Source organism: Homo sapiens, chromosome 12 (genome assembly GCF_000001405.40).
Source record: "Homo sapiens chromosome 12, GRCh38.p14 Primary Assembly".
Lineage (NCBI taxonomy): Eukaryota > Metazoa > Chordata > Mammalia > Primates > Hominidae > Homo > Homo sapiens.
Genome location: NC_000012.12, coordinates 108,128,908 through 108,154,019, shown reverse-complemented (window position 1 = coordinate 108,154,019; position 25,112 = coordinate 108,128,908). Strand labels below are relative to the sequence as shown.

At 49.4% G+C, this 25,112-nt stretch overlaps 1 protein-coding gene across 13 annotated transcripts in view, besides 1 other annotated feature; it reads right to left on the bottom strand.

Moving 5' to 3' along the window:
- Positions 1–24,732, bottom strand: part of WSCD2 (WSC domain containing 2) — a 121,250-nt gene extending 96,518 nt beyond the window's left edge. For 7 of the 13 annotated variants that reach the window (XM_017020244.2, XM_017020243.2, XM_017020248.2 and 4 more), the window contains exon 1: positions 24,094–24,732. The gene's annotated coding sequence lies outside the window, so the exon portion shown is untranslated. Of the gene's footprint in view, positions 1–22,159; positions 22,235–24,093 lie in introns of those variants that run through there. The other 6 variants (XM_017020245.2, NM_001304447.2, XM_017020251.3 and 3 more) reach the window with 1 other exon arrangement.
- Positions 24,422–24,511: a silencer, noted in NCBI's record as "silent region_4825". NCBI's record gives its function as "represses an Ori minimal core promoter by ATAC-STARR-seq in GM12878 lymphoblastoid cells {active_cell/tissue: GM12878}" and the evidence as "EXISTENCE:reporter gene assay evidence [ECO:0000049][PMID:35858748]".
- Positions 24,733–25,112: the final 380 nt, after the last annotated feature.

Genomic DNA, 25,112 nt, shown 5'->3' with positions numbered 1-25,112 from the left:
AGCCATGTGTTGAGCATCACACTTCATCTAGACTAAGAAAAACCTTCCAGCAGCATCAAGGCAAGCAGTACCACCACCACTCCCATTTCTCAGATCTGTCTGCTGTCTTCCATTTGCCCCTCGAGACACGCTCTTCCCCTTCAACTGCCCTGCTGTCCACCTGGAGGTGGCCTGGGGGAACCACATCAATGAGCTTTCTGCTTCCCTAACTTCCACTAGAGTTTGGCCAACGGGAGGCCCTGGCAGGATATTGGAAGCTGGGTCAAGGATGGTCAGGGCGTACATTTCTTTCCCCATCACCTCTCCCTCTGTGCAGCCACCAGGGTTGGCTGAGCCCCTCTACCAAAGAACATGGCACTGCAGGTGACCCTCTCCATAGAGCTAATTTTTCTAGGTTTCTGCACTTTGCCTTTTCAGGCTTGGGGGTGAATATAGCTCCCCACTACTGCTAACTCTGGGGTGCTGCACCATCCCTTGTGATTTTCCCACATCCTGCCCCTATGGTTATAAGCCCTAACTCTTACCAGCATCCCCACTGATACTGCAGAAAATGCAGACGCAGCACAGACAAGTGCCATCACTCTTCCAAGGTTAGGAACCAATGAGGGGTAGAGACAGTGGTGGAGGCTGAGTCTAAAACCCTCCGCCAGAGGTTGCCAGGATGGCTCATGGAGTATGGGGCTACAGAGATCCACAGAGCACAGGTTTTATTTAATTATTTTCTTGACTTGAATTCATCACTAACATTGAGCCAGTGGGAGCTTTTAAATACAAACCCAGTCTCTAGGTCTCTTGAAAGATAAAATGAGCTGCACCATTCTAAGTGCTTTCTGTGTTAACTTCTTTAATCCTCACAATTCTACAATGTAAGTACTCGTGCTAAGTCAGTTTTTGTTTGTTTGTTTGTTTGTTTGTTTGAGACAGAGTCTCACTCTGTCACCCAGGCTGGAGTGCAGTGGTGTGATCTCGGCTCACTGCAACCTCTGCCTCCAGGTTCAAGCGATTCTCATGCCTCAGCCTCTCAAGTAGCTGGGGTTATAGGTGTGCACCACCACACCTGGCTAATTTTTGTATTTTTTAGTAGAGACAGGGTTTCACCATGTTGGCCAGGCTGGCCTTGAACTCCCGACCTCAGGTGATCTGCCCACCTTGGCTTCTCTCCCAAAGTGCTGGGATTACAGGCATGAGCCATCATGCCCAGCCAAACTCAGTTTTAAATGGGGAAACAAAGGCACAAAGGTTAAACCACTTGCCTGAGTTTAGGGATCTGAACCTAGCATATAGATTGGTTCTGGTAAGCTGAGCCTCCAGATGTGGCATGGGCTCCTTGTTCTGCCATGGTCTGCAACAGGCCCTTCTTATACCACCCACCTGGCCTCCAAAGGCCCCTCGGGCTTCTGGGATGGCCCCGGTTAATTCCTGGGACTCATCTTTATCCCAGAGCAGGCTCTGCCACCAAGAGGGGAAGTTCGTCATCATCCCTAATGTGGCTCACCCTGAAAATGCACTATTCAGGGCTGAATTACACAGCATCAGCACCTGCCCGACCCTGTATTTCTCTGGCCACATCGTGGGTTTCTGATTGTGTCCAGCGCCTGGCTGGAGCCTGTGGGAGCCCAGCGCACATGTCCTGTGCCCAGGAGCACACAGAGCCCTTGTTCTCCTGGCCTCCCACCCTGCCCTGCTCAGGTTGAACCCTTGCCTTGGCCTGAATGGGGCTCTCACTTTATCCTTCCTTGGTCACAGCCCACCAATGGGGAAACCAAGCCAAACAGAGGCACTTTCTAAAAATCTCTGAAACTGGAGCTGGCTAGGCCTCCTTCTTCAAGTGCAGCACACTCAGAATGGGCAGTTTTGCTGGGTTTTGCTTCTCTTCTTTTTCCTCTTGGCCCTTCCTCGGGTTTCCTCTGAGCGTTTCCCGGGGGGATCAGAGTGCAGCTAAATGCCCTCATTGTGAGAGCAACTGCAGCGTCCCTGATGCCTGGAGCTGGATCCAGGAGAGCAGCGACGCCGCCCTTGGAAGGAGATCGATGGCCCTCCTATCGCAGAGCCATTCTCCCGTCTGGGCCAGTGTGTGCAGGAGGAGGGCTGGGAGGGAGCTGAGAGAATGTTGGAAAGAACTGGCTTGACCTCAGGGGAGGCAAACACAATTCTAGAAAAAGATGAGAAGTGTTATCTGTCCAAAGAGAGCAATTAATTGGTCATTAGCCCATGGAGTAGGTTTTCATCTCAAAAAACCCTCAGAGGTGAGAGAGAGGGAACTAGATCAGGTCCCAGAGAGTGGCCTCAAGGGAGTCCCCAGTGAGTGTGTGGTTAATCAATATTCATGGCATTCCGGGAGATTCCCAGGAGGGCTGCATGGATCAGGAGGCATGGCAGAGTTAGGCCTAGATTCTAATCTTGACTTTATTCTAAATGGCTGTGTACCTTGGGCGAGTCCCTTCCCCTCTGAACATCAATTTCCCCAAATACATAATAAGAGTTGAATCCACTTCTGATCTTGATTCAGTGAATCCTGTACTCCATCTCTTCCCTCTTCCTAGCCAATAGAACCCCCACCCCTGGGGAGGAGGTCATTTGCCAGTTCCCAGGGAATGTATTATGATTGGCCCAAACCAGTGGTTCTTAACTGGGGCCAATTTTTCCCCCTCTCCACCTGCATCAAGGGGACATTTGTCAATGTCTGGAGACATTTTTATTGTCATGATTGAGGAGGAGGTGCTATAGGCATCTAGTGGCAGAGGCCAGGGATGCTGCTCAACACACTGCAATGCACAGGGCAGCCCCCAACACCCGCAGAAAGAAATTATCTCACCACAAATGTCAACAGGGTTGAGGATGAGAAAGCCTGTAGTAGATGGTAGGTCAGCAGTTTGACCAGTAGATGAATCTGCGGGACCTCATGGGAGTGAGCTCCCTGGGAGATGGCACAGGGAAGGAGTGAGGGACAGTGAGGGAAGCTCGAGTGCTGACCACACTGGACTCAGCCAAGCAGAAGCTGAGCACCGGGGCACCAAGGGGCCAGGGCGTGGGCTCACGCTCAGATGGCAGGAGCCCAGATCCAAGGAGAAACTCAGGTCAGAGGAAGGGTTGTGAGGTGGGGACCGAAGCCAGGCTGCACCAGGAGGCTGGCTCCTGAAGGCTCCAACAAGGGGCCTTTTTTCCAGAGCTTCTCGCAGAGGTCTGCTCAAGTGCCTGCTGGGCCCAGCAACATTCAGCCCCAGCAGCAACCCCACTGGGCTTGGCACCTGGACTTGTGTGCGGGGGCAGTCGTATCCGGGCAGGGTGGGCAGAGAGAGTGCCAAAGGGAAGGTCAAAGTGGATCCATTCCCAAGCATACACTGAGCACCGACTGCATATCGGGGTCCTGCCTGCCTCTCTCCTGTGTCACTGCATCCTCTTTACTTCTGCTTCTGTGCTCCGGCCAGGCATGCTGTGTTCCTACCATACTCCAACTCCACCCTCTGTAGGGGACTTTCTGCAAATCCATCCCTCACACTGGAATATCCCCACCACACACACTCCTTTGCATGCTTGAGTCCCGCTCATCCTTCCCATCCTAGACTCCACACCTCTTCCTGGGAGAGACCCTTTCAGTCCCCCGAAATAAACCAAGTCTCCCTCCTCCATGTTCTCGTAACACTCTAGCCTCTCCCTTTGGAAAGCTCACAATACTTCCTTTAAAGAACTTATTTACAATTAGAGGGGGTGAATTCTATACTCCATTCTCTGCCCAGAGGGGAAAGATAGAAGAATGGTTAAGAGCACAGCCTTTGGCATCAGTCAAAGGCAGGTTCAAACCCTGGTTCTGCCACCAACTGCATGACGTAGCGCAAACCCCCGCACCTCTCAGAGCCTCAGTTTTCCCATCTATAAAATGAGGGTAATAATAACACCACCCTCATAGGGCTGTTGTTAGGATTAAATGAGGTCCTCCTAGCAAATGCCCAGCACATAATAATCCATCATCATGATTATAATTATTATTATTACCATCACTAGCATGGTGGTTAAGAGCATGAACTCTTGGGCCAAGCATCCAAAGTCAAATTGCCCGACCTCACTGGACCTCCATTTCCTTGTCTGTGAAATGGGAACAATAATAGTTCTTACCTCTTAGGGTTGTGGAGAACATCACATGAGCCAGTGTACGTGATGTCCTGAGAAGAGTGCCTGGGGCATGGGAGGCGGAACCTAAGGGTTTGTTAAAATCAAGTTGTAAGAGCCAGGGGATAGGAACTGGGTCTGTCTTGTTCACTGTTGTATCTACAACAGGTGCTCAATAAATACTTGTTTACCAAGTTTCCGCATAAGTAGCACACAGCCTAATTGTGTGTGTGTGGCGGGGTGGGGGACACATCATGGTCACACCATCACCATCTTGTTGGGGCTATATGTAGTGGTGAATAAAATACTCTGGCCTCCAGAGAGCATCCCCCTGCCTGAGCACTGAAGGCTCAGCCTCAGCTTCCTCATCTGTCAAGTGGGCCCTCAACAGGACTTTCATCACAGGAATGGGGGCCTGGCTGGTGGGGGCCGATGTTGGTGCATACTGAAAGCTTCTGACAGGCCTACTGGGGAGATTTCCAAAAAGGGAGAGTGGTAAAATGTAGGGAGTTTTTGTCTGTTTGGTTGTTTGTTTAAACTGCAAAGCCAGTGTTGTGATTGGCTTCCATTCCAGCATTTAATTAAGTTAACATCGAGTCTCTGTTGTCTTTGGGTGAAAAGAAATAAAAGACCCTCCATTTGCTCAGAGGTTTCCCAATGTTTAGCTTGACTGCAAATCTGTTGCAATCCCGCAGTCCCATTCTCTGCTCAGTCCCTGCCCATCCCACTGGGCCAGGGAGATCAAGGTTAAGGACAAAGAGGTTTCACATGACCAGGGGTCTTTGTGAATTTTACAGGGTTTCCTGCAAATCACTCTAAAGTGAAGCCTTCCATAATTAGCACGCCAGTGAGAATCCTTTGATCATGTCTCCTCTGCTGACTAAACAGAAAGGAAAGGGACATTGGGGTGATGCCTATTACCTGAAGGTGGGTTGTGTCTCCTTGACCCCCACCTTGAAATCAGCCTCAGACTCTGAGTCAGACATGCCCAGCTCCACATCTGCTGTGTGACTGTGGGCAACTCACTCCACCTCTCTGATCCTCAGAGGCCTCATTTGTAAAAATGGGATGATAACAGTAATCACAGGATATTGTCAGGGGCTTCAGTGAAGTGATCCATACACAATGTTTAGCCCGGTTTCTGGCACTTAGTAAGAGCTCAATAAACAGCAGTCATTGTTACTGTATGACATCATCTAACGCTTGCAAAGACTTCCAAAGACCTAGGTTCCAGCCTGGTTCTACCACTCATTACTGAGTGGTTTTTACTCACATCATGTTACCCCTAACCTCTCTGATCTTCCTCCATCATATGATGAGAGGAATTCAAGCCCTGGAGAGGATAATGAAGTGGATGAGAATGATCACCATCATAAGTATAATGATAATTCCATTTATTAATTGATTCTATCACTGAACTGTTTCCAAAACCCTTACCTCCCACACTACCCACCGCCATTGTCCCAGCCCAGGCCTCATCACCTCACACCACACTCACTTATTCATTCAACAAACACGTAGTGAGCACCACAAAAGCCAGGCCCCTTTCTAGGTACTGGGGCTACATTGGCAAATACACAGGCAAACATCCCAGGCTTTGTGTGCAGCGGTTTTCAAATGGGGGTGGTTTTGCCACCCCTTCCCCACCTCAGGGGGTGTTCGGCAAATGTCTGGAGATGACTTTTGGTTGTCACAGAAATCATGCTACTGGCATCTACTGGGTAGGGGGCCAGGGATGCTGCTCAACATCCTACAATGCACAGGTCGGCCCCACGCCACACAAAGAATGACCCAGCTCAAAATGTCAATAAAGCCAACATGGCAAAACTCTGTTCTAGAGGGAAGACACAGGCAGGAAACAAAATAAATAAGTCACTCACAGGGTGGATTTGAAGGTGATAAGAGTTATGGAGAAAAGACAGAGCTGTGGTAGAAGAGGCCAGGAATGGGATGGAGGGGGTGAAAGTGATGGTGATGGGATTTACCAAAGATCTTATGTAGGGTAGGAGAGAAAGAGTATGGTCATTTTCTTTTCTTTTTTCTTTTTTTTTTTTCTGAGACAGGGTCTCACTTTGTCTCCCAGGCTGGGGTGCAGTGGTGTGATCATAGCTCACTTTAGCCTCGACCCATCTCAGCTCCCCAAGAAGCTGGGACTACAGGTGTGCAACACCACACCCGGCTAATTTCTGTAATTTTTTTGTAGAGGCAGAGTTCTGCCACATTGCCCAGGCTGGTCTCAAACTTTTGAGCTCAAGCAATTAGCCTGCCTCAGCCTCCCAAAGTGCTGGAATTACAGGCATGAGCCACCATACCCGCTGTCCCTGACATTTCTGACCTGAGTGTCTAGAAGAATAAATGAGTAGGGCAGCCCAATCCAAGCGTCCCTTGATATCCGCTAGTAACCCTCCCTTCCCCTGCCAATCCCTCCCCTGTTCCCTACACAGCAGCCAGGAGAGTCTTTAAATAGAAATTTTACACCTCTATTCCCTTCTCTAACCTCTAAGCCCACATGGCTCCCAATGGCTGTTAGCACCCACCCTGACCCAAAGGCCTACCATGACATGAGCCCTGCAGGCTCCCCAGTCTTCGTCTCCTTTCCACTCTCTACCCCCGCCTGACCCTGCTTCTCTTGAGTGGCTCAGGTCAGATGCCACCTCCTCCAGGAAGCTTCCTCAAGCAAAGTGCTTGCTGAGCATGCTGGTCTGTGATGTCCTGTCTCCTCCACCTGAGCTCTGTGCAGGTGGGCATCAGAGCTTCTTGCTCACCATTCCAGGGTGACCCACCATCCAGGTTTGCCTGGGATCCAGTTTCCCAGGCCGGTTACACATTCGGTGCTAAAAGTGGGAAAATCCTAGGCAAACCGCAACCAGTTGGTCACTCTCATTATATACTTGATGTTTAGCAGAGTCTAGGTCCAGCTAAGCTCAATTACTATCTGTTTAATAAATGGCAAGAGATGTATAAATGTTTTGTATGTATGGATGAAGTTCATTGTTAATGAGTTAATAATCCAAAAGGACTGGCCGGACTTTTGGGAACCTCTGGAAGACCCTAACCCTGATCCATCCTGACTTGAGCTTGAAGGACCTATAAAAATCACAGCGTCTCTGCTCTCTAGCCAGGGCCCAGGCCAACCTGTCAGTCTGTGCAGAAAGGGAGGTCAAGGCCATTGGAGAACACTTGGAGCATTTGAGTCCAAAGACCTAGTTCTCCTGAACCTGGACGCCAGCCCACCCTACGCCTGGGCCTCAGCTGCCCCACCTTGGAGCCCTGTGTCCTGATTCAAATCCCTGCCCAGCCCTGTCACCTGAGCTCCATCTGGGACAGTTTATCTCCCTGGCCTGCAAAAGTAGGTATCTGAAAATGCTTCTCCCCAGGTTTTAGTTTTCTTTTTCTTTCGTATTTTCTTTTAAAAATACTTTCTGGTGAAATCAATCCTCCATCCTTATCATGTTCTGAGAAAAGGGGCTAACTGTATCCTCCAGGCAGGTGGCCTCTGTGCCAGGACAAAAGCTGCTCTGGTTCTTTTCACACATGTAAATCTGAACCCCTGGGGGAATGACAGGACAGAGTGGGGCGCACCCACACTCAACTACAGAGTAACTTGGCTTAAAACAGGATTTCAGAGGATGCTCTCTGTGCATAAAGCCCAACCAATGATGGTCCTGGTGGATGGGGGCCCCCAAAGATAATTATCTTGGGGGATGGAAGGGATGTTTTTCATTACCACAATACAGAAGATAACATAAAACAAAGATGTACAATTTGCATCATGTACAATGATGTGCAGTTTGCACAATGAATGCACACCCCATGTAACTCCCATCCAGGGCAAGAAACAACACTGCCAGCACCTTGAGACCCCTTCCAATGACATGCCCCCCTCCTTCTCCAGTCGAGGTAACTACCTTCAGGACGATGGTGGTAATTTCTTCCTTGTTTTTATGTTTCCACCAAAGCATGCCTGCATCCCTAAACACTATAATGTAGTTTAGCTTCTCTTTTGAGCATTTTATAACAAGAATCCTGTAGTATGTGCCCTTTTGTAGCTGGTTTTTTCACTCACCATTATTTTCGCACAATGCCTCCTTTCATGGATTATAGCTGTAGGTTGTTCATTGTCACTGCTGTGTACTATTCCTTGGTATGTCTAAACCTTATTTTACTTATCTATTCTACCATAATGGACATTTCAGCAGTTCCTGTTTTTCACAGTTATGAGTATTATAAAGCAATAAAAGAATGTGTATACCGATTTCTGTTGAGTGTATATCTTGACATGAAACAGCAGAGTCATAGGGCATGTATTGTGCTGCCTAAATAAATACTGCTGAACAGTTTTGCAAAGCAGTTGTACCAATTCACACTCCCACCAGCAGCGCATGAGGGTCCTAAGGCCTCTTTGAACTCCGTCTATTAACTCCACAGTTTTGTTGTACATATGTGGCAGGCTTGGAATGTTAGCCTGGGAAGCCTACTGAACAAGACCCAGCTGGTTCCCTGACCCCCAAAAGCAGACAGTCCGGTAGAGGGGTTGCAGGTTGGTTAGATCAACACACAACGCTGTAATCACAAAGCCTTAAGGAATGCTGTGGAGCTTGGAGAGCACATGCCAAGGGGAGCCCCAGAGGAATTTCCAGAAGTGATGCTTCACCCAAGACCTGAAGGAGGAGCTGCAGTTAATTAGGTGAAGAGGGGTGGGGGTTGAGTGGCAAAGCATGCTGGGCAAGGGCACAGTATGTGCAAAGGTCCTGAGGTGGGAGGCAGCAAGGTGTGTTTAAGGAGCTGGGGGAAACAAAGGCCCAGAGAGGTCAAGAAAGTCTCCTGAGATGACATAGTAAGTGAGTAGCAGAGCTGGGCCTGGATTTCACTGCTCAGGGATCCTTGGTGCTCATGGATGCAGCCAGTGCAAATGTAAACCGGTTCCCTTGAAATGCAAGGCCCTGTCACAAGAGGCAGGGCCTGGATTCAGGCAGGCCAGAGTTCAAATCTTGGCTCTGCCATGTCCGAGTTGTGCGAGCTTAGGCAGGTCTCTTTGCCTCTCAGAGTTTCCTCATCTGTGAAAAAGAGGACAGTGATGGGAAAGCCACCACTCAGGGCTGCTGGGGGAGTAAAGGAGGCTGTGCTGGGAAAGGGCCTGGTATGGAGTGAGTGCTCACTCACAATAAGAGGCATCATTATCTCACTCCCTTTCACCAGGCTGCTGGGGCTGCAGTTTTACAGGAGGAGCTAAGCTTTGTTGTGTACCTATCATGCTCCTGACACCTAGAAGGCAGGAGCTCCAAGGGTCTCCATGCTACGGATGAAAAAACTGAGACTCAGAGAGGTGAAGTGAGTTGCTCTCCAACACACAGCTACAAACTGGGAGAGAGCTAGGATAGAATCCTCTCGCACACATAAGGACGACAGCTGAATTACCTTCTCAGCCTCTGCAGAGAGAGTTTTATCCCAGGAAATCAATAGTGTGAAGCAGGAAATCAGAGAGAACATTAATAAGCTCAGGCAGCAAAATGAACTGCTTCGAAGCAGCCATTCTCGCTGAATTCCATCCTCAAAGCCTATTACAAATGGCACAGCTCAGAGGAAGACAGGTGCTCCCATGGCCATGAAAAAGGATGCTGAATGCATAACGCGTATGACCCAGGTTTGTAGAACAATGGGCCGGTGTGTCTTTTGAGGTCATCCATAACACGAGCTCTCAACGTACAGACAGTACAGGCTCTGGGTCCCACATGCTGAGGAGACTTGGCTTTACAAGAAGTGGTCCAACAGGGCTCACAGACACACTCATCTAGCCTGCCCTAGGTTTTAAAATTGCCCGAATTAGTGGAATTCTCTTGGAAAAAAAAAAATCAAGATATGTGGACCATCCTGGGCAGGCATTCTTGTGTGGCAACAATAGGCTGGGGCTGGGGCTGGGAGAAGCTGTGCCCCGTGGATGGGGCACTTGGTCTCTGGCTCACCATAGTCCTCCTGCCTGTCTCATGCCTATGGGACCCACCTGTCCTGGAGGCATCTGGATTTGTGACCGCCCCCCTGCATCCCTGGTGCCATCACAGCTTTCCGCTGATAAACTGACACAGGAGCTGGGGGCTTGCTAGGGAACAGCCACTTTTGTCAACCAAATGGGAGGGAAGTGACTGATCCAAGGCTACACAGGGTTTAGTGGGATGTTCAGGTTGAGTCTTCAGGATGTGGAGTGCCTCCCATCGCCCTGGATACTGACGGGCCCCTGTCTGGCCTATATTATCACCATGCTGAGAATAATCACAATTGTAACATCAGTCATAATAGGCGTGATTTACCAGGCACATTGCACGCTGGGGGCAGTGCTAAGTACCTTGCATGCCTGATCTCATATCATCCTCACAGCAAGGCTCTGAGATGGGGACTAGATGGCTTGTTGACCAGTCATTTTAGTCTGACCAGTTATCTCTTCCCTTTCCTTGGTTAACTAGGTTCTGATTTTCCACTGGGGGCCCACCCCCTCCCCAGCTATTGGTCTTTGTGGCTCAGGAAGCCACAGACAGTAATTCATGCCCCTCCCCCAAAGAGGTGTCATGGTTGATCACATGACCCTGACCTGATCAAACAGCAGCGATCATTTCCCTAGTCACTGTGACAGGTGCCAGGAGGCTGTAGGTCTCAATTTCAGAATTGCTGGAACTGGGCTTTCAGATGCCACAATATAAGTAGTTAGAGACTGATGGGTATTTGTGTTTAGAAGAAGATAGCTAGTCTAAAATGAAGCCCACACAGAGAAAATGGGAGCCAAAAGATTGGTGAAGCATGACGGAGAGGCTGGATGCGGTGATTCACACCTATAATCCCATCACTTTGAAAGGCCAAGGTGGGAGGATCGCTTGAGGCGAGGAGTTTGAGACCAGCCTGTGTAACAAAGCGAGACTCCATCTCTGCAAAAATTTTTTTAAAAATTAGCCGGGCACAGTGGCACCCACCTACAGTCTCAGCTACTAAGGAGGCTGAGGCAGGAGTATCTCTTGAGCCTAGGAGGTCGAGGCAGTGAGCTTTGACAGCACCACTGCACTCCAGCCTGGGTGACAGAGCAAGACCTTGTCTCTAAAGAGAAATAAAAAAATAGAGAGAGAGAGAGAGAAGGAAGGAGAAAGGAAGGAAAAGAGAGAGGTGACCAGAAAGAGAGACCTGTAAGATGTCAAGCTCCTGGATCCAGCCAAGCCTGAAGCTAGGTTGCTAGTTTTATAAGCCAATAAATTTCATTTTATGCCTGAGAATAAAAGAGTGTAAGGATGTTTAAGTTGGGTTTTCTGTCACCTACAACCAACAGAATCCAGATGAATGCAAACACTATCATTATTTCTATTTTACTCATGTATATGAGGAATCAGAGGCCAAGGAGATTGAAGTAAATTATCCAAGGCCACACAACTGTGAACTGGAGCACTTGTACTTGAGCGAGATCTGCCTTACACCTGAAGCTGCTGGGTTAGAAATCTTGGTCTCTTATAGGGCTGTCCCTCTGCCTCCAGGAGCTGAGGGTTGGAGATTTTAGAAATAGCATGTGTTCAGAGCTGCAGGTACCTGTGGTGTTTTGAGGAGGCCAGGGAGGGAGTAGAGGAGGCTACATAAAAATGAAATACATAATTGTTATTTAAATCAGTTCAGATGCCATAAGAAGAAAAATCAAAGCTTTCTGTGGCATTTACCCAGTGCCATTTTTAATTCTACCTTATCAAAACACAGCTGGGATTAGTTTTTCAAAAAGGAAAAGCTCCTTTAATAAAAAAATAAAAATGTTCTAATAAAAGTTAAAATAGCCCACAGGCCCATCAGGTGACAAAGGAAGGGAGACGGGGGCATTTTAGCAACTTAAAGCAGATTAAGAAACTAATTTGTTGACTCTTTTCTCCAAAGCTCACCTCTCCCTGGAAGGCTGTGTGTTTTGCATAATGAAGCTGAAATCACCCTGTTCTCTCTGCTCTTTGCAGGGATTTCAATAGGCTCCCATCTCAAGTTGACGGGGACAGCTTGGAGGCCTTTCTTCTTCTTGCTCTGGCCAGGGTTTAATGGAATCATTCAACTCCACTTTACTTAAACTCTTTACAAGGTTTCCCACTGCTGGGAGGGGCTCACAAGGCCCTGAGGACATTCCAGTTTCATCATATACCAGCTCCCCGACCCCAAAAGCAGGAACCTGTGACTATGAGACATTTACCTAGTAAAAGAAACTTTGCAGATGTGACTAAGTGGAGGATTTTGGGATGGAGAGATTATCCTGGATTACTCAAATAGGCCCAATGTCATTACCAGGGTCCTGATGGAGAGTCGCAGCCAGAGACAAAGATGTGATGACGGAAGCAGACATCAGAGTGGCTTGGGGCTATGAACCAAGGAATATGGGCAGCCCTCCAATGCTGGAAAAGGTAAGAGAGTGGATTCTCCCCCTCGAACCTCCAAAAGGAACCCAGCCCTGCTGACCCATTTTAGACTTCAAACCTCCAGAACTGGCAGATAGTAAATTTGTATTGTTTAGAACCGGGGATGGTGGTGGCCATCTGTAGTCCCAGCTACTCAGGAGGCCAAGGCAGGAGCATCGCTTGAGTCCAGGAGTTCGGGACCAGCCTAGGCAATATAGTGAGACTCTATCTCTTCAAAAATTTTTTAAAAATCACAAAAACAAACAAACAAAAAAGAACAAAAAGTTTTTAAAAACTAGCTGGGTGTGATGGCACTTGCCTGTAAGTCTCAGCTACTTGGGAGACTAAGGTGGAAGGATCACCTGAGCCCAGGAATTCAAGGCTGCAGTGAGCTATGATCGTGTCACTTGCATTCCAGCCTGGGTGATACAGACTCCATCTCTAAAAAATAAAGAAACAAGTAAAGAAAGAAAGAAAAGAAAAGAATGTAAAGATTGTCTTGCTCAAGCCACTACCTTTATGGACATTGTTTCCCGTAGCCATAGGGAACTCATCCGCTCACGCTGAAAAGCAGCATGGGAGCGAAGGGGCCGCAGGACCTGTCATGGATCAGGATGTGAAAGGCCCACGTTCTAGTCCCAGCTCTGCCACGATGCCCAGGGGGTGGGAGGGCTGGCCGGCTGCTCCCTGGGACCCCTTCCAGAGCTGGCAGCCTTGCTCTGCTGAAGTTCACACTCACAGGGACAGTGATCACAGCAGCCCAAGGCTTCAGGACTGTAGCAGGGGCTGGCAGGGGGTCAGGGGGCAGGAAAGGCCCCTGGCTGGGGGATCATGAGGGGTGAGGGCAGAAGATCTGGGCGGTCCAGGGGAGAAGACACTGACACCTCAATCCCCAGCACTTGAGGAACAAGCTGTGTGGGCCCCCAGCTACTACTACCTGGTTCTTTTTGAGTGACACACAGGTTTACCTCTCATGATCAGCCAGTGCCCAAAATCAGGCGGACAGACAGAGCAGCAGGTTGCCGTAAAAGCTATGCCAGGATGGATTATGGGGAGAGGCCCTGATGACCAGAGAATCCCCATGCCTCTTCACTCTGCTCATAGACAGTAAGGAGGTGCCTCACCACTCTATGATGTAGCTCACCTCTGACAAGACCTGAAATAAAAGCCACCCAATCACAATCATTATGTTACTAACTGGCACTTATGTAACCTGTACCATATGCTAGGCGCCATTTTAGGTCATTGAATCTTCACTCAGCCCTTCCAGTTTTGTATCTCAGTTTTAAAACGAGGAAACGGAGGCGAAGAGTGGTTAACTCACAGCCCAAGGCCACTCAGCTGAGAAGCAGCAGAGCTAGGATTGAAACCCAGGCAGGCTGACCCTGGGCGTGACTCGGGATGATGCCATCATTCTACCCCGTGTACCTTCTGAGTTCTTGCCCTGGGCTGAGAACTCTCCATGCATAAGGTCACGTCATCTTCACAGCAATCCTAGACACATCAGCTCACCCTCTCTCTTTTGCAGGTGAGGAAACTGAGGCACAGAAAGGTGACGCCAGTGGCCCAAGGTTGTGTGATCAGCTGATGGTCTCTCTAACCCAAGCCTGGTGCCTCTTCTCAGCTTTTCACTGCTGAGCTAGGTTCCTGCTCACTCGCCACTGGCTTCAGCCAGTGTGAGAGAGTTTCTGTTATTTAAAACCTGCCATGTCCCATTCTGACATTTCAGAACCTCATATGGGCTTGTTCTCTCCCTACTAATAATGATGAATATTGTTCTGAGCATTTACTATGTGCTAGGTATTGTGCTGGGCTTCTATGTGAATTCACTTATAAAACACTCATAGCAACCCTTGGAGAATGCATTATTATTATCCCCATTTTACAGATGAGAAACTGAGGCACAGGGGTTAAGACACTTGTCCAAAGTTAGAGAGTGTGCAAGTGGCTGATCTGGGCTGTGAAGCCAAGCAGTTTCAGTCTACAGCCCATGTTGGTGACTCCAAAACTACACAGCTTCGAATTCGCTCACTTTGCAGCATGTACTACTCTGGACCCTAATCTCCTCCCCACCTGAACCTGAGCTGGGAAAACTCTTCCTAGGTGCAGGCATTGGGTCTGTTCCAAGTCCCCAGTTCACAAGGGCTGGTGAGGGAGTCTTCCATAAAAATGGAAACAAGAAGAAGAACACCTCCTAGAATTACTACAAGTCATTCAGCCATAAATTCTCTCTTGTTTGAAAGTATGTTTCCCCCAATTAATTCCATCCCATGCAACTATCAAATTTTATTTGGAGATAGACCTCCAATGCCTAAGGAATGATCCAGGAACTCACACCTTCATTATTTTCTTTCCTAAGGTGGTAAGCTGAGGCTGCTCTTCTCAGTCTGGGACTCAAGAATTCTGGGGCTCAGATAGCAATAGGATCCACCCATCTGATGGTGCTAAGCACAGAACACTCATTCATTCATTCTCTCAACAAACATTGAGCGTCTACTATGCACCAGTCCCACCTTGGTGCAGAGGCACAGCTGTGAACATGAAGCCTGCTGCCCTCCCAGGACAATTACCCAGGTGTCTCCTCTGTCCTCCCAGGGGGCATTGCTACCCAGGTCTATCAAGTTGGGCTCATCTCCCAGGGCCCAGCACAGGACCTGGCAGCTCTGAAATGAAATAGGTGCCTAATAAAGGAGTGTTAAATAAATGAATGGATGCACAAATATGTTTATGAATCAAGCAAATCACTAAATAACATTCATGGCAGAGGAAGCTGAAGTTCAAAGAGAAAACTTATTGGAGATGCCCCAGATGGTGTGAAGAGGCAGAAAATGACTGATTCATCATGAGTCCTGAACAGATGCCCACAGACACATTAGTGCTAGGAAGAATCTTAGTTATGCCCATTGGAGAAAATGACTTATCTTCTGGCTAAGATGACCATTGTTGAGTACTTACTCTACATAAGCATGATCTCATTGAATCCCTGTAAGAACCCTATGAGGTAGGTATTATTGCCATTTTACAGACGAGGACATGGAGGCACCATAAGCTCATGCAACCTGCTCAAGATTACACAGCCTATAAGCTACCGAGCTGGGATCGGAAGTGAACCTGTTCAATCCCAAAGCCCAAGTTCTTAGCCCTCACTCCTAAGGCACAACAGAGTTAAATGGGGCATCTTTTTACCCAGCTACTGGACATGTATGAAGATGCCATCGTATTTTTTTGAGGCCGGGGCATCTATGGCAGGCTGGCTCACCCAACTCCATCCAATGTCCTGTCCCAGTGGTGGGTCTTCCCGCATGCTGGCCATCAAACGATAGAACCTCACTTCTCAGAGTCCTCTCCAGCCTGGTTTCTGCATGTGCCCACCTCCCACATGAGATATAGAAGTTGAAAGCAAATGTCATGAGACAGGCTGTGGTGCTGTTCCTTCTACCATGCACAGACAAGAAGGTGCTTTGGGTTTCTGCAGCAGTTGTAGCTCATGTACAGCTGTCCTCAGTGTATAGCGGATGCCACTGAGGCTGAGAGGGAGCCATTGGCTGCTGTTAAGTGGCTAAGATCTGAACCTAGACTTGCCTGATTTCAAAGAATATTCATTTCTTGAGCACCTATCACACACCAGACACTGTCTAGGTACAGTTAGATGTCACTTATCCAACATTGTGAAAAATGAAGAGTTCCACGTACGTGAATTTTTCAGACACCAGAGGCTACCTACACAGAAACATTTATTAGTTTAGCCATGGGATCAAATACTGTATTCAATGAATTATTCCTTGCCCTTGCTCCTGCCTATTAAATAGGATTTAACTATTTCTTGGGGCCAGCACAGAGGCTGGCCATTTCAGTGTCCTATAACATTCAGCTGGACAGAAGTTACGGGATGAGGTTGTTGGACCACTACACTAAATTCCCCCAAGCTGTCATTCTTTTATTTCCATGCTTCGTAGTTTTGTAATCTCTTCATCTTCACCCTTGTTCCCAGGCTGTCAGCTGTTGCTTCTGCCTGCTGTCACTGTGCACTCTCTACCATTCTACAGTCTCATCACTTGCTTCCTCTATGTGCTATAGGGCCTGGGAAATCAGGTCACTGAGCTCATCACAATGGTGTGCAGAGAAAGAGTAAACAGGCCCTGAGTGAGGGAATGCTGGCTCTTTTCTGATATGGGCACTGGAGTAATTAAATCAGACTACTTTCTTATTGTGTTTTACAGAGAGTTGAGTTCCCAGGGTAAATGGCATGCAGTTATGATGGTGATACACCTAAGAGCTATGTGAAAATTAAAACTAATCTAATTGTTCCAGAGATTCTAGCTTTTCTACCTGTCCCACCAGGGAGGCTTTCAAAATGCAAAGAGCCCAGGACACTGGAGTGTAAACAGATATTCTAGAGGCAGAAATCAGGGCCATCTTAGCCAAGTGGGGAAGAAATGTGGGTGATCCACTGTCTCTGGAGGCTTAGGGGCTTTCTATGAACCTGCAAATCCAGAGCCCAGCATGCTCAGCCCCCAGTCCTGTTGAGTAGTCTGCCTTTAACTGTCCTAGCAGGGGACCCTCCAGCCATTCAGTCACCCAAGCCTGCCCAGCCTCAGCCTCACTGATAAACCCATGTTTACTATCCTCAGGCCTGTGGGGATGGACCTGGCCTGGTGCATGCCATTTCCAGGTTAACAAATGAGAGGGAGAGAAAAGGGAAAGCTTCCTCCGAGGAGTTCCTGAAACCGTGCATCACCCCCACCTGGGAAAGACAGAGCGGGGAGGCAGCGGGAGGAGTAGCTGAGAACACGGGCTTTGAGGTCAGAGAGACGTGGGCTCTGCCATGCGCTGGCTCTGTGACTTTAGATAAGTGAATGAATCTCTCTGAGCCTCAGTGTCCACATGGGTCAAGTGGAGACTGGGGTCCCTTAACTCACAGGACTGTCACAAGGATTCAGTGAGAGAATGGAAGTGAAGTCTGATTACAATGCCAGGCACTGTAAACACCCTGCATACACAAGCTACGGTGATCAGGAAGGTCCCCAGGTCAGGGTCCTGCAGGGCCACCTTGGAGCACAGGCCAACATATATTAAGGCTTTAGTGCTACTCCAATTAGAAAAGAAAATGGAACCATAAAAAGCTGCACTGGAGAAGTCCTTCGTGATCATATGTAACTTCTCTCCCATTCTATAGATGGGACTTGCTAAAGGCCACTAAGTCAGTTGGCGCAGAGCTGGGATTCAGACCTCTTCACTTCCCACTCAGAAACTCTTCCCCCAGGACCATTGTCACCTGCCTCCTACTGTCTATGTGGCCTTGGGTTGTCTCTCTCCCTTTCTGGGTCTCCATCTCTCCATCTAAGAATTCTCCAGCTCACAGTCTCTGGAGTTACTGCACCTCTTCTGACCCTTCAGATGCCTCACCTGTGGATGAATGCAAACCCCATATGTCACCTGACTCACAATGATACAGCCGAATCCATCAGATTTTTGCCTTGGTCATCCTAGTCCAAAGCTCAGGACCCTGGCTGAGATTTTTAGCTCATGGGTCAGCAAGTTTTTTCTGTAAAGGGCCAGATAGTAAGTGTTTTAGGCTTTGCAGGCCATGTGATCTCTGTCACAAATACTCAACATTCCTGTTGTAGCTTGACAGCAGCCATAGACAATAGCCAATGAATGGGCTTAGCTGAGTTGCAATAAAACTTTATTTACAAAAACAGGCAGTGGGCCAGATTTGGCTTGTGGGCCATAGTTTGTTGGCCTCTATTCTAGACCATTCCAAGCTGGGTCCAATATTTCCTCTGGGATGAGAGTAACCAATTTGTCCTGGTTTGTGTGGGACTCTTCCAGTTTTCGCACTGAAAGTCCAGTATCCTAAAGAAACATCTCAGTTTCAGACAGTCAGGATGATTGGTCACCCTATCTGGGATCTGGAGGCCCCTACTTTCTCTTATCTCTGCATTGCTCTGGTAGTGACATTCAACCGTCTCCACCATAAGGAGGAGGAGGAGAAAGAATAGGAGGAAGAGGAGTTATTGTTTATTATGGCTTCCAGCATGAAAGGCACTGTGTGAAGGACTTTGCCAAATTACTTTGTTTGATCCTTACAACAATCCAGTGAGGTGAGGCTGAAGTTCCTTCCAGTAAAGGGTAAAGTCTGGACTGGAACCCAGCTTCATCTGCCTCCATAACCCAGGTTCTCCTACTTCTACCTCAGATTGTAAGCTCATTGAAGACAGAGCTGGGGTCTCTCATTTCTGTATCTTCAGTGCCCAGCACAGAGTATGATGCTGAGAAGATTCTGAGCAAACACTGAATATCAGCAAATACTGATGCTGAATGAATACTTGAATGGATGCATGGAAGGATGGATGGATGGATGGATGGACGGATGGACGGACGGATGGAAGGATGGATGGCTGAAGAAATCTCACCACATTCAAATAGACAATTCCCACTTCTGTGACATGATTCACTTCCGCGAACCAAACCTCCAGGTGAGTGAAGGGGGGAAATGTCAAATGTATGCTATGACATCAGTTACATAAAACATGCCTGCTGGCACTGGGAGGCAATATGACATCATGGTTAAAAACACGGTCTCTGACATCAGGTGATCTGTGTGCAAATCCCAGAAAGCCTGGCTTCTGAGCTGTGTCACCTGGGCAAGTCATTCATCTCTCTGACAGAAGACTAGATGAATACAAAGCTCCTGGCATAGTGTGTGCACCTGGTAAACACTTTGTATATGGTACTTATCATTATTAGTGTTGATATTAGGATGGACAGAAAGCAAGGTACGAATGGGACACCAACAGTGAAAAGTACAGGTGTTCATTATGCACCTCTGAATAGGTACCAGGGTCAAACAGGAGAAGGAAATAAAGATGACTTACTGGTAACTGCATCAGTTAGCTATGACCATGACAGTGGTGTGTAACAAACAACCAGAAAACCCCAGTGAGATACCTGTGAGGGGCATTTATTTTGCCGATCTGCTTGTGACCAGCTGGAAACTGGCTGGACTCATCCCTTCACCAAGGTCTGGGCTTAACATGTGCCCATTCTAGGGCCAGGCTGAGAAGGCAGCTCTCCACCTAGCCATGGCAGAAACACACAAGGTTCCCTAAGGCCTAAGCTTGGAATGGGTACACTATCTCTTCCACTTCACTCTAATGGCCAAACCTGGTCACATGGCCGAACCCCAAAGGGAGGGGGCAGGGGCATAAGTTTTGCCTGCTCCTTGAATGAGAAGAGCAGTGACGTCTTATGGCTAAGGGCATGGATACAGGGAGGAGGGAGGAAATGGGAACAGTGATGCACCCATCCCAATAACCAGGCACTGGCGGACCTTGAAAAGGGGCCCCACAGTGGCCCAGTCCTGCCCTCCTCACCAGCTCCTGACCTCAAGGTTCTGCCTCATCAGCTCTTGGGCAAAGTCTAGAAGGCCCCTAAGCAGCAACACTTGCAGTCCGTGGGGAACCAGAGACCCACCCATACCCCACCACAGTCCCTATCTTCCCAACATCTGGACCTGCTCCAGGGAGCCATTAATCTCGGGCAATTTCTTTCCTCACTTGATTTGTTTATTTAAGGAAAACAAGTTGCTCCTAATTAGAAACACTGCTGTCGAGATGTTCAGCACATCCTAGGCTGCCTATTTTCAGACCTTCTGCCTAAAATTATACCTGTGCTTTTAACATCTGCGAGTTTGTTCAGCAGCCGTCCTAAGTAGAAGCTTCTGGCAAGACAGATTTGGGCTGTTACAGAAGGTGAGGGAGGCGGGGGCAGGGGGATACACCGGGCTTTGGAGCACTGCAAGGCAAAGGCACTTGGAAAAATGAGCACGCATCATCCAACACTCTGCTCAGAGCTGGCACCAACTGCTGAATCAACACTCGGAAGGTGCACGGCACAAGCACAGTTCAGTCCTGAGGAGCAGGGAGAAGAGTGATCTTAAATGTTCAGAGATGGTTTCTGTTTGGAAGCTCACAGGTATGTTCACACCCCTCCACCCACACACTTGTTTATACCCCTAGAGACACTCAGACACACCCTCAGAGATGTGCATGCTTAGAAGCACACACATACACACAGACATGCACAAAAGTTACACTGCTGTACAAACAGGCAAACACGCTCAGAAAAACACACATGTACGCCCAGAGATGTGCAAAAAGATACAGTACAACACCACTCAGAAATTCACTCATACGTGAGACAAAAGTTACACTGGAACACACAGAAATACACCTTCAGAGACACTCACGTGCACACAGACACACTCAAATGTACGCTGCAACTGACACACCCAGATACTGACACTCACAAACACACACATACACACAGAGATACGCTCAAGTGTGCAATGCTACACAGAGGCACATACACTCAGAAACACCTGTGTATATGTCGAGAGATCCACAAAAAGTTCACACTGCAATACACACAGTCACACACCCACAGAAACACACATGTATACACAGACACAATCAAATGCACATGCTAACATTCACGGATACACACGTTCAGAAACACACGTTTACACAGAGACATTCACAGAGATTACACCAGAACAAACAGATGCACACACATACAGAGACAATCAGGTGTGCAATGCTACACACACATATGCACATAGAGGCACACACAAAGGTACATTAAAAAACATGCAGATACATAATGCCTGTAAGTGCATAGCACAAACTCACACTCACATGGCTGTATGCACATGTATGCAGGCACTGAGAAATGCCCACATACACATGCAAATAACACACACAGCTATGAAAACATGCACCAGGCAGAGAGTATAGCTTCTTAAACACGGATATTTCTGCACAGATCCCCTAGAGCACACACGTGGATCTGTGCAGGCATACACCTGCTTAGCCCAGACACACATGACTCACATATATACAACTGCGTAACATTCACAAGTGTATATACATACCCACCCTTGCACCGATTCACAAATGCACCAATTCTCTTGCAGGCATGCACACGCACACTCACAAATCCATAGACATGCACGCTCACACTCATAAATCCATCAGACACCAAGTACACACTCACACTGACACTATCTCATGAGTGCACACACTTATGGTTCTCATGTAAGTTATGCTCACACAAGCACATGAGCCCACACCTGCATGAGAATGCACACATATGCACACATTCACACACGTGTCCACACACACACCTTACTCTACCATGAAAGCAAATTGTTCGTTTTTTCAGAGTCTTAAAAGTCAAGTCCAAGCAAGCACACAGTGGAATTGCTCCTGTTCCCCATGAATTCACTCCATGTCACTGGGATGGGGTCTGCCTTCCCCACTGATGGTTTCAGCATAAACCCGGGGCAACCCACAAGCCTCAGAACCACGCAGAAAAAAATCACACTGACCAGTCCACTGCATTCCCTGACAATTTCATCATTCCCCCATGTGTGCATACGCAGGCACACACACACACATGCGTACACACACACACACAATGCTGTAAGACACTTCTTTCCCCAGCTTGACTTTTCCTGCCAAGAACAGTAGCCTTGTCTGCCCAGCATGGGGTAGTTCTCAAGCGTCAGCTGAGTGCCCTACACGCAGACATTCTGAACTTCTCTGCCCTGGTCCCTAGACAGCTGCGAAGTTGAAGCCATGGAGACTGCCTACCTCCACCTCCTGATGTCCTGGTGATACAGCAGCTGGGTGCATGCAGCACTCCCAGACCACCCTGGGCTCCCCACTAGGAGTGGCTGGTCCAGCAGAGATTTTATGAGAAAGCAGAGAGAGGGCGGGGACTGCAGTGTCAGGTGATTGGAGAGAACAAGGGCCCTGCCATGTAGTCAAGGATCACCTGGTGCTTGGTGGGACAGGGCCAGCCTCCCTGGGGAAAACAGCACCCAGATAGATGCCCCACACAAGACCCAAAAGCAGGTAGCCTTGGCACCGTTGAGCTTCACTCTTTGCTAAACTCTACACTCAGCACCCTCCAGGCACCATCTCAGTTAGTCCTCTCAGCCCTGTAAAGTAGGAACTGTGAACTTCCCATCCTACAGTGGAGGAGCCGAAGCGTGGAGAGGGAAGTCACTGGTCAAACTTAGATCTGATCTGAGACCTAGGTCTCTTAAATTCTAAATTAAGATCCCCTCCTGGGATTACAAAAATCTCATCAGTGACAATCACTCAGGGCCATAGAGTGTCTCAACTGAACTGGGACCTCTGAGGATACATGAAATCTCTTCATTTTTGAGAAGCAGCAACTGAAGCCCAGAGAGGTCTAGTGATTTGCCCAAAGTCACACAGCAAATGAGAGCCAACTTGAAGCTCAATCTCCTGACCCAGACCCAGGGCTTTTTCCAGGACATCAAGCACCAGATTCTGACGCCCTGGAGGAATTCTTGGGTTTTGGCAGCCTAGGGACGCAGCTCTAACTTGGCCTGAGATCGGAATCCCACCTCACACCCCAAGAACTGTCTTAAAAACAACACAGCAATGCTACTCCGCAGAGGCAGATGCCCAGCCCAAGTAGGTAGCACCATGCCATCTATGGGGCTGTGACCACAGGGGCGGCTCTAAAATGATCCTCAGAGACCAGGTGATCTCCTTGGAGCATGCTTTTTACTAATAGAAAAAATCATCTAGCCAAACTTATGAGCTGTGCATGGGGCTCAGCAGAGCCTCTAGGGGCCTAGAGTGTGGGGATGAGAATGTCAGGAGGCCCTCTCCACGTGGCCCTTCCAGCCCCTTTTCTGCAAAAAGTTTGCACCTCCCCAGGCTCCAATAGGAATGGTCTCATTGAGCAGCCAGGAAACTTCCCCTATTTTTTTGCTCACCTAAGGAGCAGCCCCTTTGAAGCTGTAAGAATTAGGAAGTGACCTCCACCCTTCCTAGTGGTTCTGCCAAGGAGGTGAGTTGGCTCTTTCCAAGATACCTGGGGCTGCTGGAAAGGCTTGCAAGGAGGCGATTTGGCTGAGTTGGTCCCCTAGTCTCTAGTTCCCTCTCTCTCTTTACACACACACACACACACACACACACACACACACACACACACACACCCCAGAATGGACATAAGCAAATCTGCAAGGCACCCTACACAAAGCCCATTGCCTGGGCAGCTCTGGCTGTTGGCATCAGATGACAGGCAGCCTTATTCACCAGAGTATCACCCCCAAGAAACATCTTCTACAGCCAACTTGGAAATATGACTAGCTCCCTCTCCCTTGGAACTCTGCACTGGCCAGAAAGAGGGTGATTCATAAATCAAATTTACGGGGCCCACTGCCTCCCCGCTGGCCCACCTCCGCGGGAGAAGCCCTTGAATGCATGCCTGTAGGGGGCACAGGAATGCCCAGAGGAAGGATGCCTGGATGAGCCGGAATGTCCCACCCTCTGCCAGAGGAGAGAAAGTTTGTCATCTACGCAGAGCTGGGCTGTCACCACTCTGGGTTCCTCACTCGCCGGGCTCTGGACGACGAGCCCCCAACCTGCGGGGAAGCGTCTGGAAAGCGAAGCCCAGATCTAGGGGCAGAAGACATTTCGCACCAGCTCCGCGCCCGGCTCCCTCCTGGAGCCCTCTTCCCAGGTCCAGGCACCTGAGTCCTTACCTGAAGGGTCTCCGCCACTTGCAAACTCTGCCAGCTGAGCTCAGCAGGCGCCCGGGGTCCCTCTCTGCGACTCCCGCGTCCCGCTTGGCGCGCCCGCTCTGTGGGCGCCTTCCCAGCTGCTGCAGTGGCTTTAAGGAAAGGGGAGCCTGGATTTCCTTTCTCGCCACCAAGGCTCCTCCTGCCGGGCCCTGGGGCTATTTCTCCAGGTCTGGCTCAAGGGGCATCCTCTGCGCCTCCAGCGGGAAAGTGGGATAGTGTGCGCCTTGAATTGCAGCAGCGGCGACAGCGGTGGCCGGGGACGAGGAGGCGGTGGCGACGCCAGCCGGCGAGCCAGGGAGGCGGGCGGAAGCGAGAGGAAGTGAAAGCCGGGCTCCTGTGAGCCTGGCGCTCGGGCGGGCGGCACTGCGGGTGCCCCGAGCCGCGGCGAGGCCCCGCGCGGGCACCCGCCCCGGGGATGGAGATGCCCGGGCCCGGTGCGCGCAGGGCACCGGCTGCGGCTCGGCGCGGAGCTCCGGCCGCCTGGCTCTCTCTCGCTGCCTCGCCGCTGCCTCCTTGGCTGCCTTGCTCGCTCCCCTGGACTTCACGTCTCCAGCCCTAGCTCCCGCGCCGCTGCCGCCGCCGCCACCAGCAGCGCGCCTCAGCCCGGCGCGCTCCTCGCACGGAGCCACAGCACTGCCTACCGCTTAACTCCTTGCATGCCACCTGGCCCTCCCGCAGCCTCCCGGGGAGCCGGGCATAGCCGGTGCCAGGCCGGCTGAGCATATCGGGCAGGGGCCTCAGCCTTCCGGCCTCAGTGTCCTCTTCTGTAAAATGGGTTCGAGACCCAAGCCCAAACCATAGGGTCGCTGGAAAAATTCACTGAGCGGATTACGCAAAGTGCCAAGCTGCCTGACATGGGGAGTATGCACCCCAAATGGCAGAGTGCTTGCTGCTGCTGCTACTGTTGTCGACCAAGAAGCTTAGCACGGTGCCTCACAAATAGTAAACACCCAATAAAGCGCAGTTTCGGTTTTTGGTAT